General features: G+C 40.6%; 1 protein-coding gene across 9 annotated transcripts in view; it reads left to right on the top strand.

Annotated features, from left to right (window-relative positions):
• MCM9 (minichromosome maintenance 9 homologous recombination repair factor) overlaps positions 1-20,136 on the top strand; it is a 121,705-nt gene that overhangs the window by 90,610 nt on the left and 10,959 nt on the right. For 4 of the 9 annotated variants that reach the window (NR_165493.1, NM_001378356.1, NM_017696.3 and 1 more), the window contains 4 exons: positions 15,300-15,502; positions 16,420-16,623; positions 17,686-17,768; positions 18,258-18,403. Coding sequence is in view for 8 of the 9 variants with exons in the window: in NM_001378356.1 (NP_001365285.1) it covers positions 15,300-15,502; positions 16,420-16,623; positions 17,686-17,768; positions 18,258-18,403 (636 nt within the window). In the remaining variant the exon portion in view is untranslated. The remainder of the gene's footprint in view (positions 1-15,299; positions 15,503-16,419; positions 16,624-17,685; positions 17,769-18,257; positions 18,404-20,136) is intronic. The other 5 variants (NM_001378366.1, NM_001378360.1, NM_001378359.1 and 2 more) reach the window with 2 other exon arrangements.

Genomic DNA, 20,136 nt, shown 5'->3' with positions numbered 1-20,136 from the left:
TTTTGTATTTTTTAACTTTGCTTTTGACATAATATCACTTACAGAAAGGTACAAGAATAGTACATGTTGGCTTTTTTGGGGTTGTTTGTATGTACCCCTAGTTACAATTGTATATCTATCATCTGTTTGGTGGTGGGAACCAGTGAAAACACTCTAAAAGTTCCACGTTAACTCATGTGTTCATTTTTCATAACACTCACTCTGTCTCACTCTACAATTTAAGAACAAGTTGGATGAGCCTCCACAGTAGTTCATCCAACTTTTTTGGCTACCAGTTTTCAGAATCTTAAGTTCATTACCCCTAATTAGAGGCCAGTTAATCTTCCTGATGCAAAGTGTACAGTTAACTGCCAAATGCAAAACTCTTGAGAAAATGTCTCTAGAGACTTATAGCATGCCGTGAAGTTAATTAATAGCAGATAAGAGGGTTAAGTGTGCAAAGGGAACACTTTAATTATGAATTCTACCAAAATAAAATACTCTGAATCTATTAAGAAAAACCTTATCTACTTCTCCACCTACAATAGGAATCCTTCACTGAGTCATCATCATCTAGATATTCTGGGGCCCTGCCTTTCTAACCACTTCAGGTTTTCCTTTGAGACATTTGGTACCTTGCCACATCATTTTCAGAAACTCTTGAATATGTCTGCTTTTGCTTTCTTTCTCTTTTTCTCTTTCTCCTGTCTCAAGTGACTAAAGTTTGGCTGATTTGTGAAGCAGTTTTGATTTGAATTATCATTTCCCTTTAATGCAAACCGCCGGATCAGAATATCTGACTGGTCTCCAAGGCTACATGAAATTTCTCATATATATATATATATATATACATATATATATACATACATATATATATATATACACATATATATATACATACATATATATATACACATATATATATATATGTTTTGTTTTGTTTTGTTTTTTTGAGACAGAATTTCACTCTTGTTGAGTGCAGTGGCGCAATCTTGGCTCACTGCAACCTCCACCTCCCGGGTTCAAGCAAGTCTCCTGTCTCAGCCTTCTGAGTAGCTGGGATTACAGGCATGCGTCACCACACCCGGCTAATTTTGTATTTTTAGTAGAGACAGGGTTTCGCCATGTTGGTGAGGCTGGTCTCGAACTCCCGACCTCAGATGATCTGCCTGTCTCAGCCTCCCAAAGTGCTGGGATTACAGGTGTGAGCCACTGCACCCAGCCAGAGATTTTTTTTTTTTAATGTGTCACTTATATGCACTGCAGAGAGTTAGTTCTTTTTTTGAAAATAAGCACACTTAAGTGTCTCATTTAACTGTGATTTCACAAATTGCTCTTTTAAGTTGAGGTCAAACTTTATGCAGTGTTTTCCTGTGGGTGGCACATACCTTACCTACAAGGGCATATCATAATCCCTACTATTCAGATGCTTAAGCAACTGGGAGAGGCCAATATGATTTCTGCACTGCAAAAGCTTGTTATAGTCAAAATAGAAAAAATGGTAAAACACTTAGGATGCCTAGAGCCTACTAAATGTGACTTATGTCAGTAACCAAAATATAGGTCTTCTTGAATCAATACATGCTTGTGAAGACCAATAATTTTGTTGTTCTTTATGTTACTTAAATCTGGAAACATTTTTAAAGTTTGGGAATTTAATTACTTAAATTTTGTCCTGGCTGCTTAATGAAATAGAAGTAAGATGAAACCAGGAAGCAAATGATGCAACGTGAGTTTTTTTTAAAAAAGGGGGCTCGGGAGTGGTGGCTCACACTTGTAATCCCAGCACTTTGGGAGGCTGAGGCAGAGGATCACTTGAGGCTCGTAGTTCAAGACCAACCTGGGCAACATAATGAGACCCCTTTTCTTCAAAAAATTTTAAAAATAGCAAAGCGTGGTGATGCATGCCTGTGGTCCCAGATACTCAGGAGTCTGAGGCTGGAGGATCACTTGAGCCTAGGAGGTTGAGGCTGCAGTGAGCTATGATTGGACCACTGCACTCCAGCCTGGGCGACAGAGTGAAACTCTCTGCCTCTGGGGGCAGAAAGGGTGTCAGTATTAAAATCTGCTTTTTTTAAACTGTGCAAATCAGTGCCTGTGCCTAGTGAATGGCAGCACAGTGCCACATGACAGTGTGTAGTCATTTGAATAACTTGATATGATGATGAGCTTTAAGGCTGTAGGATGCTAAATAAATCATAATTTGGGAAAGATAATGTTTCATTATTTTCAAGGTTCTTTTCAAACTTAAGCAGGATAGCATCTCATCAAAAGCAGGGTATCACTAGATTTTTAAATAATCAAGGACATCCTCAATATTTGTTGAAGACACATTTTAGGAGAAAACTTAACATTTCTATGATATATGTAATGTCTACTGAATTATACTCACATGCCTAGATAGGAAGTACAACCTGAAAATTAAAAATGGCAAGATAGGCCGGGCACGGTGTCTCACGCCTGTAATGCCAGCACTTTGTGAGGCAGAGGCGGGTGGATCACAAGGTCAGGAGTTTGAGACCAGCCTAGCCAATATGGCGAAACCCCATCTCTACTAAAAATACAAAAAGTACCTGGGCGTGGTGGCATGTGCCTGTAGTCCCAGCTACTCTGGAGGCTGAGGCAGGAGAATCGCTTGAACCCGGGAGGCGGAGGCTGCAGTGAGCTGGGATCACGCCACTGCCCTCCAGCCTAGGCGACAGAGCGAGACTCCGTGTCAAAAAAAAAAAAAAAAAGGCAAGATAGCTCTTGTTTTGCTCAGTAGACGTATCTTTTTGAGCACTAAACAATGTCATGCTTTCTGCTAGCTGCTGGCACCTTAAAGACGAAAAGATAAGGCCTTTGTTCTCAAGACATTCACAACCGTGTAACAAGACAGGCAAGTAAACGTTTATTGTATACTGTGATTCTAACAGCCCTAGAAGGGCCAGGGCACAGATCTAACTTGACTAGTCATCAGTTTTCTGGTGCAAGCCTACTTAATTAGAATCTGTAAAGTGGGACCTGGGAATCTGCATTGTCAAAACCTACTTTGGGTCTTGTTGATCTGCCTGGCTTAGGAACCACTGCTATTGTACAGGGTGCTTGCTCAGTACCCAAGCACCCTGTTTGCCTCTGCTTTCCAGGATCTTATGAAGCTGTATCTGTGGTGGTAGTCTTCACAGTCTAGTCTCTGGTTAAGGGGGGGCCAGAGGAGAGAGAGGCAGGGAGAAGAGGGAAAGTCCTTCTGTCCAGCCAACCCTACTGGGTGGTCCCTGACCCCTAGGGGGCTGCATGGGCTGTGAAACAGATGAAGTGATCCTTGGAGGTATCCAAGTGTGCCACCAGGATGTGAAAAATATAAGTTCAAACCATGTACTTTGAGAGTTTACTGTTCTTTCTAGATTATTTATATGGTCAATACTTTTACCTTTTCCTCTTTCCTATTCCCCTTGCTTGTAAATCCCATTACTGTTCATTATACCAGTGTAGATGTGAAAAGTATTTTGTCAACTTTATCAACCTTGTTAAAAAGTTGAGGAGGAGCCAAGCGCAGTGGCTCACTCCTGTAATCCCAGCGTTTTGGGAGGCCAAGGCAGGGGCAGGGATGGGGAGGATTGCTTAAGCCTAGGAGTTCAAGACCAGCCTGGGCAACATAGCAAAACACTGACTCTACAGAAAGTACAATTATCCAGGCATGGTAGCTCATGCCTGTAGTCTCAGCTACACAGGAGGCTGAGATGGGAGGTTTGCTTGAGCCCAGGAGGTGGAAGCTGCAGTGGGCTGTGATTGCACCACTGTACTCCAGCCTGGGTGACAGAGCAAGACCCTGTCTCAAAAAAAAAAAAAGGGGGGGGGGAGGAGAGAATATATGTACCTAGCATTTTAAGGTTACCAAATATATATAATGGATTGTGAGAATACCATTAGTATAGTTTTATTTTGCAGTTTTATTGGGTTTTTTAAAAAAAATGCTAAACAATTTTTAAAAATCAAGGCCTGTCAATATAGAAATGTCAGACAGTCTACAAAGTAATATGTCACTGTTGCTGCGTGGGCTGTTCTCTGGCCTGATTCCTTTGATGAGAAGACCACTCAAACATTGTTGGGATAGGTTTTGCCGTAGCCAAAGGAACTGGAGCTTGCTGGAGAGATTATGCTACATATGAGCCAGAGTAGGCTAACTGCTATAGCAAACAGTGACTTAACAGAATGAAAGGTTATTTTTTGCTCATGTATGTGAGGGACACTCAGAGAGTCCCATCCTTATAATTTCATTAAACCAAATCACCTCCCAAAGGCCCCACCTCCCAATACCATAACACTGGGTGTTAGGGCTTCAGCATATGAAGTGGAGGGGACACAAACATTCACTCCAGAACAGCTTCTATTCTTTTGTGTGTGTGGAGAAAAAAAAAAAAATAACATAAAAATCTACCATCTACAGTTCAGTAGTATTAAGTCACTCTCTGGACAGGGCATCTCAGAAAGAAAGGCAGCAGCCCCAGTCAGGGGCTTATAGATAAAATTCCCATCTTCCTGGGACAGAGCACCTGGGGGAAGGGGCAGCTGTGGGCACAGCTTCAGCAGGCTTAAACTTTCCTGCCTGCCAGCTCTGAAGAGTGCAGCAGATCTCCCAGCACAGCGCTCGAGCTCTGCTAGGACAGAAGGCCTCCTCAAGTGGGTCCCTGACTCCCGTGCCTCCTGACTGGGAGACACCTCCAAGCAGGGGTCGACAGACACCTCATACAGGACAGCTCTGGTTGGCATCTGGCGGGTGCCCCTCTGGGACAAAGCTTCCAGAGGAAGGAACAGGCAGCAATCTTTGCTGTTCTGCAGTCTCTGCTGGTGATACCCAGGCAAACAGGGTCTGGAGTGGACCTCCAGCAAACGCCAGCAGACCTGCAGCAGAGGGGCCTGTTAGAAGGAGAGATAACAAACAGAAAGGAATAGCATCAACATCAACAAAAAGGACGTCCACACATAAACCCCATCCGAAGGTCACCAACATCAAAGACTGTAGGTAGATAAATCCACAAAGATGAGGAAAAACCAACACAAAAAGGCTGAACATTCCAAAAACCAGAACGCCTCTTCAAATTCTCCTCCACAATTCCTCACCAGCAAGGGAACAAAACTGGATGGAGAATGAGTTTGATAAATTGACAGAAGTAGGCTTCAGAATGTGGGAAATAACAAACTCCTCTGAGCTAAAGGAGCATGTTCTAACCCAGTGCAAGGAAGATAAGAACCTTGAAAAAAGGTTAGAGGTATTGCTAACTAGAATAACCAGTTTAGAGAAGAACATAAATGACCTGACGGAGCTGAAAAACATAGCATAAGAACTTCATGAAGCATACGGAAGTATCAATGGCTGAATTGATCAAGCAGAAGAAAGGATATCAGAGATTGAAGATCAACTTAATGAAATAAAGCGTGAAGATGAGATTAGAGAAAAAAGAATGAAAAGGAACGAACAAAGTCTCCAAGAAATATGGGACTATATGAAAAGACCAAACCTACGATTGATTGGTGTACCTGAAAGTGACAGGGAGAATGGAACCAAGTTGGAAAACACACTTCAGGATATTATCCAGGAAAACTACCTAGCAGGACAGGCCAACATTCAAATTCAGGAAATACAGAGAATACCACAAAGATACTCCTCGAGAAGAACAACCCTGAAACACATAATTGTCAGATTCACCAAGGTTGAAATGAAGGGAAAAATGTTAAGGGCAGCCAGAGAGAAAGGCCGGGTTACCCACAAAGGGAAACCCATCAGACTAACAGTGGATCTCTCTACAGAAACCCTACAAACCAGAAGAGAGTGGGGGCCGATATTCAACATTCTTAAAGAAAAGAATTTTCGGCCGGGCACAGTGGCTCACGCCTCTAATCCCAGCACTTTGGGAGGCTGCGGCGGGCGGATCACGAGGTCAGGAGATCAAGACCATCCTGGCTAACATGGTGAAACCCTGTTTCTAATAAAAATACAAAAAAGCCAGGTGTGGTGGCGGGTGCCTGTAGTCCCAGCTACTCAGGGGGCTGAGGCAGGAGAATCATGAGGTCAGGAGATCAAGACCATCCTAGCTAACATGGTGAAACCCAGTCTCTAATAAAAATACAAAAAAGCCGGGCGTGGTGGCAGGTGCCTGTAGTCCCAGCTACTCAGGAGGCTGAGGCAGGAGAATCACAAGGTCAGGAGATCAAGACCATCCTGGCTAACATGGTGAAACCCAGTCTCTAATAAAGATACAAAAAAGCCAGGCGTGGTGGCGGGTGCCTGTAGTCCCATCTACTCAGGAGGCTGAGTCAGGAGAATGGCGTGAACCTGGGAGGCGAAGCTTGAAGTGAGCCGAGATCGCTGCCACTGCACTCACAACCTGGGTGACAGGGTGAGACTCCGTCTCAAAAAAAAAAAAAAAAAAAGAATTTTCAACCCAAAATTTAACATGTAGGCAAGCTAAGCTTCATAACCTAAGGAGAAATAAAATCCTTTATAGACAAGCAAATGCTGAGGGATTTTGTCACCACCAGGCCTGCCTTACAAGAGCTCCTGAAGGAAGCACTACATATGGAAAGGAAAAACTGGTACCAGCCACTGCAAAAACATTTGAAATTGTAAAGACCATCGATGCTATGAAGAAACTGCATCAACTAATGGGCAAAATAACCAGCTAGCATCATAATAACAGGATCAAATTCACACATAACAATTTTAACCTTAAATGTAAACAGGCTAAATGTCCCAATTAAAAGACACAGACTGGCAAATTGGATAAAGAGTCAAGATCCATCAGTGTGCTGTATTCAGGAGACCCATCTCACGTGCAAATACACACATAGGCTCAAAATAAAGGAATGGAGAAATATTTACCAAGCAAATGGAAAGCAAAAAAAAGCAGGGGTTACAATCCTAGTCTCTGACTTTAAACCAACTAAGATAAAAAAAGGCAAAGAAGGGTACTACATAATGGTAAAGGGATCAATGCAACAAGAAGACCTAACTATCCTGAATATATATGCAACCAATACAGGAGCACCCAGATTCATAAAGCAAGTTCTTAGAGACCTACAGAAACACTTAGACTCCCACACAATAATAGTGGGAGACTTGAACACCCCACTGTCAATATTAGACAGATCAACGAGACAGAAAATTAACAAGGATATTCAGGACTTGAACTCAGCTCTGGACCAAGCGGACCTAATAGACATCTACAGAACTCTCCAGCCCAAATGAACAGAATATACATTCTTCTCAGCACCACATAGCACTTATTCTAAAATTGACTACATAATTAATTGGAAGTAAAACACTCCTCAGCAAATGCAAAAGAGTGAAAATCATAACAAACAGTCTCTCAGACCACAGTGCAATCAAATTAGAACTCAGGATTAAGAAACTCATTCAAAACTGCACAACTACATGGAAACTGCTCCTGAATGACTACTGGGTAAATAACGAAATTAAGGCAGAAATAAATAAGTTCTTTGAAACCAATGAGAACAAAGTCACAACGTACCAGAATCTCTGGGACACAGCTAAAGCAGTGTTCAGAGGGAAATTTATAGCACTAAATGCCCACATCAGAAAGTGGGAAAGATCTAAATTCAGCACCCCAACATCACAATTGAAAGAACTAGAGAAGCAATTATGTCACAATTAAAAGAACTAGAGAAGCAAGAGCAAACAAATTCAAAAGCTAGCAGAAGACAAGAAATAACTAAGATCAGAGCAAAACTGAAGGAGGTAGAGACACGAAAAACCCTTCAAAAAATCAGTGAATCGAGGAGCTCATTTTTGAAAAGATGAATAAAATAGACTGCTAGCCAGACTAATGAAGAAGAAAAGAGAGAAGAATCACATAGACACAATAAAAAATGATAAAGGGGATATCACCACTGATCCCACAGAAATACATACTACTATCAGAGAATACTATAAATACTTCTACAGAAACAAACTAGAAAATCTAGAAGAAATGGATAAATACCTAGACTCATACACCCTCCCAAGACTAAACCAGGAAGAAGTCGAATACCTGAATAGACCAATAACAAGTTTTGAAATTGAGGCAGTAATTAATAGCCTACCAACCCAAAAAAGCCCAGTACCAGGCGGATTCACAGCCAGATTCTACCAGAGGTACAAAGAGGAGCTGGTACTATTCCTTCTGAAACTATTACAAACCATAGAAAAAGAGGGGCTCCCCCCAACTCATTTTATGAGGCCAGCATCATTCTGCTATCAAAACCTGGCAGAGACAACAAGAAAAGAAAATTTCAGGCCAATATCTCTGATGAACATCGATGAGAAAATCCTCCATAAAATACTGGCAAACTGAATCCAGAAGCACATCAAAAAGCCTGTCCACCACGATCAAGTTGGCTTCATCCCTGGGATGCAAGGCTGGTTCAACATATGCAAATCAATAAACGTAATCCATCACTTAAACAGAACCAATGACAAAAACCACTTGATTATCCCAATAGATGCAGAAAAGGCCTTCAATAAAATTCAATACCCTTTCATGCTAAAAACTCTCAATAAACTAGGTATTGATGGAACATATCTCAAAATAATAAGAGCTATTTATGACAAACCCACAGCCGATATCATACTGAATGGGCAAAAGCTGGAAGCATTCCCCTTGAAAACTGGCACAAGACAAGGATGCCCTCTCTCACCACTCCTAGTCAACATAGTATTGGAAGTTCTGGCCAGGACAATCAGGCTAGAGAAAGAAATAATGGGTACAAATAGGAAGGGAGGAAGTCAAATTGTTTCTGTCTGCAGATGACATGATTGTATATTTGGAAAACCCCATTGTCTCACCCAAAATCTCCTTAAACTGATAAGCAACTTTAGCAAAGTCTCAGGATACAAAATCAATATGAAAAATTCACAAGCATTGCTATACACCAGTAATAGACAAGCAGAGAGCCAAATCATGAGTGAACTCCCATTCACAATTGCTACAAAGAGAATAAAATACCTAGGAATACAACTTACAAGGGATGTGAAACATCTCTTCAAGGAGAACTACAAACCACTGCTCAAGGAAATAAGAGAGGACAGAAACAAATGGAAAAACATTCCATGTTCATGGATAGGAAGAATCAATATTGTGAAAATGGCCATACTGCTCAAAGTAATTTATAGATTCAATTCTATCCCCATCAAGCTACCATTGACTTTCTTCACAGAATTAGAAAAAACTATTTTAAATTTCATATGGAACCAAAAAAGAGCCCATATAGACAAGACAATCCTAAGCAAAAAGAACAAAGCTGGAGGCATCACACTACCTGACTTCAAACTAGACTACAAGGCTACAGTAACCAAAACAGCATGATACTGGTACCAAAAACAGATATATAGACCAATGGAACAGAACAGAGACCTCAGAAATAATCCCACACATCTACAACCATCTGATCTTTGACAAACCTGACAAAAACAAGCAATGGGGAAATTATTCCTCATGTAATAAATGGTGTTGGGAAAACTGGCTAGCCATATGCAGAAAACTGATACTGGACCCCTTCCTTACACCTTATACAAAAATTAAGATGGATTAAAGGCTTAAACGTAAGACCTAAAACCATAAAAACCCTAGAAGAAAACCTAGGTGATAGCATTCAGGACATAGGGATGGGCAAAGACTTCATGACTAAAACACCAAAAGCAATGGCAACAAAAGCCAGAATTGACAAATGGGATTTGATTAAACTAAAGAGCTTCTGCACAGCAAAAGAAACTATCATCAGAGTGAACAGGCAACCTACAGAATGTGAGAAAATTTTTGCAATCTGTCCATCTGCCAAAGGTCTAATATCCAGAATCTACAAAGAACTTAAACAAATTTATAAGAAAAAAAAAAACCACATCAAAAAGTGGGTGAAGGATATGAACAGGCACTTTTGGAATGAAGACATTTATATGGCCAACAAACGTGAAAAAAAGCTCATCATCAGTAGTCATTAGAGAAGTGCAAATCAAAACCACAATTAGGTACTATGTCACACCATTTAGAATGGTGATCATTAAACAGTCAGGAAACAGATGCTGGAGAGGATGTGGAGAAATAGGAACTGTTTTACACTGTTGGTGGGTGTGTAAATTAGTTCAACCATTGTGGAAGACAGTGTGGCGATTTCCTCAAGGATCTATAACCGACATACCATTTGACCCAGTAATCCCATTACTGGGTATACACCCAAAGGATTATGAATCATTCTACTATAAAGACACATACACACGTATGTTTATTGCAGCAGTGTTCACAATAGCAAAGACTTGGAAGTAACCCAAATGCCCATCAATGATAGACTGGATAAAGAAAATGTGGCACATATATACCACGGAATACTATGCAGCCATAAAGGATGAATTCGTGTCCTTTGCAGGGACATGAGTGAAGCTGGAAACCGTCATTCTCAGCAAACTAACACAGGAACAGAAAACCAAACACTGCATGTTCTCACTTATAAGTGGGAGTTGAACAATGAGAAAACATGGACACGGGGAGGGGAACATCACACACTGGGTGGGGGGCTAGGGGAGGGATAACATTAGGAGAAATACCTAATGTAGATGATGGGTTGATGGGTGCAGCACACCACCGTTTCACATGTATACCTATGTAACAAACCTGCACATTCTGCACATATATCCCAGAACTTAAGGTATAATAATAATTTTTAAAAAGTATAAGTCACGTTGTACAAGCAATCACCAGGACTCTTTCCGTCTTGCAAACTGAAACTCTATACCTGTTTAAAAAAACTCCCATTTCCTCCTCCTCCCAGCCCCTAGCAACCACCATTCTACTTTCCGTTTCTATGGATTTGACTACTCTAGGTATTTCACAGGTAAGTGGAATCATACAGTATTGATCTTTCGTAACTGGCTTATTTCACTTAGCATGATATAGTTAAGGTTCTTCCATGTTGTAGTATGTGTTTGCATTTTCTTTCTTTTTAAGACTGAACAATTTTCCATTGTGTGTATAGACCGCGTTTTCCTTATCCATTCCTTTATCTATGTACGCCTGGATTTTCTCCGCCTCTCAGCTGTTGTGTGTGTAGTGCTGCTGAGAACATGGGTGTGGGCTTCATTACTTAACAGTGGCTACCTTACCACCATCTAAAGCAGATTTCATGCTCAATCTAAGTGACTTTATACAACTGAGAAAATTTACTGGGCCTTTGTTCAAGCTTTTTTCAATTTTGCTTCTTACTGTCTGGGGTCTAGAAGCAATTTTTTTTCCCTAACACTTCAAAACCTCAAATTTCTGAGATGTCTTCATTGCTTTTCATTTCTCTTTGAAGATTGGTCAGTTTTTTCCTGTGCTCACCACGTGCCTGCAATGCTTTGCCGAAGGAAGTTTTTCTTGTTCGTGTCAGTCTGATGTGGATTGAGGGTGGTGTGCTCTGCTCCGACAATGATTCCGGGCCCAAGCTCCTTCTCTCATGTGGCTCTCTGACTCCAGGGCTTTATCCTCTTCTGTACTCCACTAGTAAAGAGAGAGAAAAAGATTGCACAGGAAGGCTTTTAGGGGCCAGACCTAAAAGTGGTTTATGTTCTTCTATCTTTACTTCATTGTCCAGACTTGGTATCATAGCCCTACTTCACTGTAATGGGAATAGGAAATACAATCTTGCTCTATTCCCAGGATGGAAAGAAAACAAGGTTAGGTGAACATATAGCACCTGGTGCCACAGGCTGGAGATAAATTTGGAAGTACCAGCATATAGGTGGTGATCAAAGCCATAAGTAAAGATGAGGATCATCCCGTAAAGGGAGTAATGGGAGACCTTCACAAAAACAAGGGCACTTTCTTAAGGGTCTTTACTGGTAAAAATAACTTTACAATGTTAGGTTACACAAGTTATTAGTAGAACAGTTACTACTGTGTTTGTAGGACGTTTAAATGTGTGCATTAAATAAATGTAAAAGTAGTTTTTTCAGAAATTGGAATGTCTTTACTTCTTGAAGTTTAATACAAAAGAAATATGTATCAGCATCCTTTTATGACAAAGCCTGTAAATGTAAAATAATGCTGAAGTTCAGAAATACTGAACTAAGTAAAGATTTATTTTTATTTGTCGTTTAAATTATGTACATTTATTAAGCATTTACTATGTACCAGGCAGTGTGAGGATTATAACAATAAATCACAATCTCTCAAGGAAGACCACATTTAGTAGGACAAAAATAGGCTGGGCAAGGTGGCTCACACTTGTAATCCCAGCCCTTTGGGAGGCCAAGGCGGGAGGATTCTTGGGGCCAGGAGTTCAAGACCAGCCTGGGCAACATAGCAAGATTCCATCTCCACAAAAAATTTTCTGAAAATCAGCTGGGCATGGTGATGTACACCTGTAATGCTAGCTACTTGATAGGCAGAGACAGAAGGATCACTTGAGCCCAGGAGTTTGAGGTTGTAGTGAGCTGTAATTGCTCCACTGCACTACAGCCTGGGGAACAGAGTGAGACCATGTCTTTTAAAAAAAATAAGTAAGGCAAATAAGTTGATGCCGAAAATCCCAGGCAGAATCGGCAGTCTGGAAGTAAAAGCGCATTGATTTTGGAGCCCAGCAGATCTAGGTTTGAATCTCAGCTCTGCTCCTCTCAGTGTAACCTTGGGGAAGTTAATATTCCTGAACTTCTAGTTTCCTTATTTCTAAGTTTGTGATAATAGCACCTACCCTTCAGGTTGCTGTGATTAGGGATGATCTTTGTAAACCTAATGCAGTGCTTGCTTGATATTAAAAATGTAGTTATTTTTATTAATATTGTTGAAGGTAGAGTTCATATGGGATAGAAAAATGAGTTACCTTACAGTCTATGAATTCATTCATTTAGTATTTAGTGAGCCACTACTACGCACTGTATACTTAGGATTAGATTGTATGTATGTATTTGTGTTTGTTTTCTAAAGCCCCATTTAGTTTTTTTAAAAAATGTTTGTATCACAGGTCTGTACCCACCAGGTTTACATATGGTCTTCCCCACTTTCAAATGCCCAGAGACCACCCTGTCTGTCCTGGCACTGTCTTCATCCTCCCTCTTTGCTACAGGGATCTGCCTGACTTATCTCTCATAATCTCCTCTTCCTCTGCCCACTCCCGTATTTTCCTTGCTCCTATTTCTGCTGACTTCACCTCAGACAGCCTTTTTTCTTTGCATACAAATTTTTGTTAGTTCTCCCCACCCCCAACTTTTTTTTTTTTTTTTTTTTTGAGATGGTCTCTTGCTTTGTGAGTGCAATGGCACAAGCTCGGCTCACTGCAGCCTCCACCGCCCAGGCTCAAGTGATTCTCCCAACTCAGCCTCCCAAGCAGCTGGAACCACAGGTGTGTACCACCGTGCCGGCTATTTTTTGTATTTTTAGTAGGGATGGGGTTTCACCATGTTGACTAGGCTGGTTTCAAACTCCTGAGCTCTGGCGATCCACCAGCATGATTCTTAAGCTTAAGCTTTTCTAATGGAAAAATTAATTCCCCCAGTTACCTTAGGCATAATTTACCACCTTCTTTCTGTGTTCATTTTTCTTCTCATACATTGGAAAACTCTCCAATTATATCCCCTATAGATCTCCAGGTGTCCCCACCGAAGTTTCTCCCTGCTGATACTAATGCTGATACTGACACCAGCACTCCTTGCACACTTACGATCTGGCAGGCACTCTGCTCCACCTCTTCTTTCCCCAGCAGTTCTGTTGTAAACTAATTGGCAGCAGAGATCAGATATGTACCTTTTTGGATTCTCAGTACAGCTTTTTGCACAAAGGAAATGGTCTATAAATATTGGTTGGTCAGAGAGAGGATGAATGAACAATTCATTTGACCTAGCATTAAAAATAATTTTATAAAAATTATGTCATATGCAATTGTATTTTGTTTCATTGCCAGTGTTGTGGACATTTTTAAATAAGAAATACAAATAGTCCGTCTTCAGTGTGGGTTAAATGTGCTTTTGTGGGTTACTTAGGAACCGCTTATTACATTGTTCTATGGCAAATTATATTCCAAGTTCTAAACAACTGTCTTTACAAAAGCCATTTTGACACATAAATTATAAGATGTGGACTGTCCAGAATTTTTCCTTGTCACTAATTTTTTAAAAGGGAATTTAGTTTTTGGTAAAAATGCCTTGTTTATCTTTCTCTTATTTATTTAATCAGTGTCTTCTTGTGCCACTTGCCACAAATAAAGATTCTCAAACATTTTCAGCCTCAGGGAATGAAGTAGCTGCTAGCTAGAAATAGATCAGGGATTAACAAATGTAATACATGTTGCTGATGTCATAGGGCTGTGACTTGGGAGGCAGACATCCCACTATAACTAAAAATGGGCATCAAGTGCACAGCATACAAATTTACAGATTCAAATTTTTACATTTGTTATTGCCAATGAATATGTCACATTATTTTGAGAACTAGCCCATCATTAATTAGTTTAAAAACAATATCTAAGTTATGTCACATCCATCCCTATCCTGCCACGCTCCATTTAGGACTACCTTGTCCCTCTACTGGACCATTGTACTAGAGCCCCTACCCTGCATCCTGTCCACAGTCCTTTCCTGTCCAACCCACTCACCAACCCAGTCCTCATCAGACTTCCCTTCACAATGGCTCCTCAAAAACTCAATGCCAAATCAATCATATTTTCTGATTTCCTTTCCCTCCCTCTTTCTCTCTTTTTTGTTTCTTTCGTGTTTAGAAAAAAAATCAAAACAAAATGAGTGAATACACAGAAAGTTTTTGCCTCAACCACTCACTATTCTCCAGAGTCATCCTCACTCTCTACCCTCACCCCCTCTGCAAATGCCTGTCTTTCTCCACCTAAAAATGTCCAGAGGTCTTGAAAGGTTCAGTTCAAAAGCTGCTTCACAGTGTTTGCTTCTGTGTTCATCTTTTCTATCCACATAGATGAATATACATCATCCCTATTTCCCCTGGGAACTTTATTCTTTTAGAACTTAACCATATTCTGCCTTGTGTTACATTATAGCTAGTAGATTGCAAGCCCCTTAAGAAGAGTTTGGTTTAATTTTGGATACTTCTTAGCACTTAGCAAAGGGGTCTCCTCATAGCAGGGGCATAAAAAGTGTTTATTGAACGGTTACTTCTCTTTAAGATAGAATAGTTTCAGTATACTTTGTTGGAAGTTGATGTTTGTGATATCTCCTTCTGTCATTCTACATTTTCTTTCATAGGAGTTCGTAGATTTTCAAGGTGCAAGAGCAGCCCCATTTTATTAACAGCTGTAATCTTGCATTTTATCTGAACCTCACAATCAGTGAATTGTACTGTCTCTCCTGGCAGCCTCGTGTGCAAGCTGAACACAAGGACCACCATCCTGGCAGCAACGAACCCCAAAGGCCAGTACGACCCCCAGGAGTCCGTGTCTGTGAACATTGCCCTCGGCAGCCCACTCTTAAGTCGATTTGACCTGATCCTGGTTTTGCTTGATACCAAGAATGAAGACTGGGATCGTATCATTTCCTCCTTTATCTTAGAAAATAAAGGTACGTGAAGACAAACAAAGCATTCAAAATAACAGAGAGATTAGCTGTAACTAAAAGAAATTCCCTTTCAAGAAAATTAAATAAATACCCAAGATAGGCTATGTAGTACCAGGCAATAGAGAAAAGCTTAGACAGAAAGCAGTGAGAGGAGCCACTTACGGGGCCTCAGAATACTGAGTTGAAGGAAAAGGGCCTTTCTCTACCTGCCACTAATGAGACTAAAGTTGTTATAAATATGTGCCTTATGATGAAAGGGGACAACCTTATGATACAGAATTAACGCTCACCTCTTGCATATAAAACCAGAATGAATTGTGAAACAAATCTCTAAATGTAGGCTTCTCTTTAAATCAGATTTACTCAGGCCGGGCGTGGTGGCTCACGCCTGTAATCCCAGCACTTTGGGAGGCTGAGACAGGTGGATCACCTGAGGTCAGGAGTTCAAGACCAGCCTAGCCAGCATGATGAAACCCCATCGCTACTAAAATTCAAAAATCAGCTGGGCGTGGTGGTGCACACCTGTAATCCCAGCTGCTGCAGAGGCTGAGGCAGGAGAATTGCTTGATCCCAGGAGGTAGAGGTTGCAGTGAACAGAGATCGTGCTACTGCGCTCCAGCCTGGGTGACAGAGTGAGACTCCATCTCAAAAAAAAAAAAATAGATGTATTTGAATATTATTGATTACTGGGCAGACCAGAATTATTCTGAATAATTTTTAATAAAGGCAGGAAGCTTACCTTTATTAAGCTTAGATCATAAGATGCTGATTGTATGCTATGCAGACAAGTCTAGATTTCAATAACCACAAAACATGAAGGTTATCTTTTAACAAATGAGTACCAGAACTTTATAAAAATCCTTAAAATGAGATGTTTGCCTGTCCTAAGAACTTACTGACCCAACACCTGATACATACAGGTTACCCAAGCAAATCAGAGAAGCTCTGGAGCATGGAAAAGATGAAAACCTATTTCTGCCTCATAAGGAATCTGCAGCCCACACTGTCTGATGTGGGCAATCAGGTTCTTCTCCGGTACTACCAGATGCAAAGGCAGAGTGATTGCCGGAACGCTGCCCGGACCACCATTCGGCTGTTGGAAAGCTTGATACGATTAGCAGAAGGTCTATTTCATTCAGCGAATGATGCTTGTATTGAATGCTGCGTGTGTGCAAGGCATGGGGCTTGGCACCATGGATTCAAAGTTGAATGAGAATAACTCCCACTCTAAGGTGCTCATAGTCACTTAAAAATAAAGGCTCTGAGCCAGAAGATCTCTGCTCCTCTGAGGACAGATTATGAGTATTGACTGGAATGTGGTGTCATTAAGAAAGAGGAATCTTTGTGCCATCTCGGGACCTCCTAGAACTTAATATACCATTCACTTAGAAAGCCTTACTTCTGATATTTTGTTTCTCAGTGGTAGCTCTGTTAGCATTTTGAGTAGGACAGTTTCTTGTTTGGAATTGTTTCCCATATAGCATCACTAGTTCTTGCTCATTAATTGCCAGTTGCAGTCCACCCCTGTCATTATAGCAACCAACTTGACAATGCCATGCCCTGCCCCATTACATATATACATATAGCTAACATGTATCTTAATTCTTTTCTTCTAACATTGGCTTTTACATTTTAGCTTTTGTTTAAATCTAAAAAAAGAATTCACATGAACTGAATAATAAAATAAAATAATACAAGCTTAATAAAAAATACTGTAAAACAAATGGACTTTCTTTTTTCAAGGATTTATAGCTAATATTAGGGCAAGAAATACTCAGAATTTAGAATTGCTTGTTTGGTAGCTTTGAAAAGCTCATAGATCATAAAGAGGAGTGCCAGAAATGAAAAATGAGTTTTAATTTTGTGTAGTTTTATAAAAGACTAGAAAATGAGGACTAAAGTTGCTGAATATTAAATGTATGTTTATATAGCCCGTTTTTTTGCTAGAGCCCAGAGTACTTTTTCATATAAATATACAAGATTGTGTGGGCTACACAGAAGGATTAGGCTCATTATAGAAACATCCTTAAAGCTAGTTGAATGTTGACTTTTGTGCTTGTTCTAGTAAAATTATGTTGTTATTAATAGCTCATTCATAAAATACAAATGGTGAGGAGGAGGAAGTTAGAGAATTACATTTCTCACCTCAAATATTCCTAAAAAACAAATGTGTTTTGTTTTCTTAGCTCATGCTCGCCTGATGTTTCGTGATACTGTAACTCTGGAAGACGCTATTACGGTGGTGTCAGTCATGGAGTCCTCAATGCAGGTAAGGATATTTTGTGTACCTAATTTTTATCCTAATTACAAACTTTCTTTTTTTTAAAAAAGGACACTTTATTAACATATCAAAAGTTATTAAAATGCTCATATTCTAGACTTAGTAATTCCTGGAAATATATCCAAAGGTAACCGATTAAATGAAGAGGAAACAGTGTCCTGGAGATATTTGCTGCATGGGTGGCATTGCTTTTGCCTATTGATGTAAAGTAGTGCGCTTCGATCGTTTTTTTCCTCAACACACCTGAGAGATGTTCATAGCCCACCAGTGACAGTATAGCTTCCTAGAGCAATGATTGCCACCAAGAACTGGGGGAGTGAACTATAGAAAGTTGAAAAAGCCTCCCAAGTGATTTTCATACCCAGTATAGGGGTGTAAACGGCGGTCTTAGCCCCCGGGGATTGCTGGTCCCTAGAGTGTACTTACCGCTATGCAGGCTGGCCTGGTGACTCTCCTGGTATTTTCTCACCCCTTCAGGGAGGTGCACTGCTAGGAGGTGTGAATGCCCTCCACACTTCCTTTCCTGAAAACCCTGGAGAGCAGTACCAGAGACAGTGTGAACTTATTCTGGAAAAGCTAGAGCTGCAGAGCCTCTTGAGTGAAGAGCTTAGAAGACTTGAAAGGTGAGGAATGAAAACCCAGAAAGGCATACAATGGAAAATCCTTGTTTGGCATTTAGTGAAACAAAGCAAGTGTGCATTAAGTGGAAAAATCTATCTATCAGGTGTTGGGTCAGTAAGTTCTTAGGACAGGCAGATACTATCTATAGGAGACTGTTTCAGTTTTCTACTGCTGTATAATCAACTGCTCCAAAACTCAGTGACTGCGAACACCACCCCCACCAGCATTTTAGTGTTCACTTTTCTGGGTATCAGACATTCAGGCAGGCTCGGTGGGGATAGCTTGTCTTTGCTCCACATTGTGTTGGCTGAGATAACAACTCAGCAATGACAGAAGCAACATTTCAAAACTTACCTTTCTAATGACTCATTAAAATGTGAATAATAGACAAGGAGGATACATGGGAAGAAACATGTCACATGCCTTAGTGTGAATGTGGACTCTACCAAAAAAATTTTGCCCAAACTATTAATGTTCGCATACTCCCGAAATATGTGGACTTCTAAAAACCTAGGTTTTGCGTGTAAGCCTGAGAAATAGGAGTGAGGAATGGCAAGTTTATCCATTTTTGGTGTCTTCATGATCAGTGTGAATGGCTTAATAATTGACCTGCAGCTCTTACTGGTGTTGGTCTCAAAGCCGGGGTCTGGTGAATGAAGTACATGAAAAAGTGGAACAGCTGCAAAGAATTTGGGGACCACATTGAGACTGTTGACTACGTTAAAAAAAAATCCTTGAGAATTCTTCCTTCTCACAGCATCCTTCTCTTTCTAGTTTTTGAAACTTCAGCACAGCCTTCCTGGGGAAGTGCGGGGATGGGCATTATCCTGTTAATAGCCAGGTGCCAGACTGCAGTAAACTTGCACTTTGTATAAAATTCGCCCCTCTTTCTTTTGGTCTCCTGGCTCATTTTATGATCCAGAACATGGTGCCAAGATCAAAGTTATTCCTTTGGGTTGTTTATGATTTGATGTAGCTGATTCTTTTCAAGCCGCTCCTGGGCTTGGCTTTGCTTTTGGAGAGGCTGCTCATTTTGACTGATCCAAGCTACCAGAAACTGACATATGCTGGATTCGGGAAAGGAGAAAAAGTGAGGCCCAGAATCATTGTTATGAATTAGAAAGATGGCAATTAGACTTCCCAAATTTAAAATGACCCTCCTGGAGGGAAAGAAAGGAAAAACGAAAGAGTATTTGACAATCTAAAAGACAGGATTCTACCTTAAAATGTTTTTTTCTACTGGTATTTATTTATAATGTAGAGGCATGTTCTGGTGTTGATCCTCCTGAAAGCAACAAAACCAGGTACTATGCAAATGAAAGTGAATTACCTCCAAGGCACAATCTAATGCTAATCTTATCAAGTGAGAAAAAACCCAACCAGCATATGAGTTTTTACTGTTTTGGAAAGAGTTCTCTGTTCCTTAAGGAGATAATTATAATGAAACCATTTATAGTTTTATCATGCTTTACTTCCAGAAAATGCTTTATACTGGTGACAGTCTGACTCGGCCATTCTATGTGCCTCAAAACAGAGTGCAGGCGGGGCACGGTGGCTCACACCTGTAATCCCAGCACTTTGTGAGGCCAAGGTGGGCAGATCACTTGAGGTCAGGAGTTCAAGACCAGCCTGGCCAACATGGTGAAACACTGTCTCTACTAAAAATACAAAAATTAGCTGGGTGTGTTGGCGGGCGCCTGTAATTCCAGCTACTCGGGAGGCTGAGGCAGGAGAA

This window comes from Homo sapiens, chromosome 6, assembly GCF_000001405.40.
Source record: "Homo sapiens chromosome 6, GRCh38.p14 Primary Assembly".
Lineage (NCBI taxonomy): Eukaryota > Metazoa > Chordata > Mammalia > Primates > Hominidae > Homo > Homo sapiens.
This window is presented reverse-complemented; position numbering and strand designations above follow the sequence as displayed.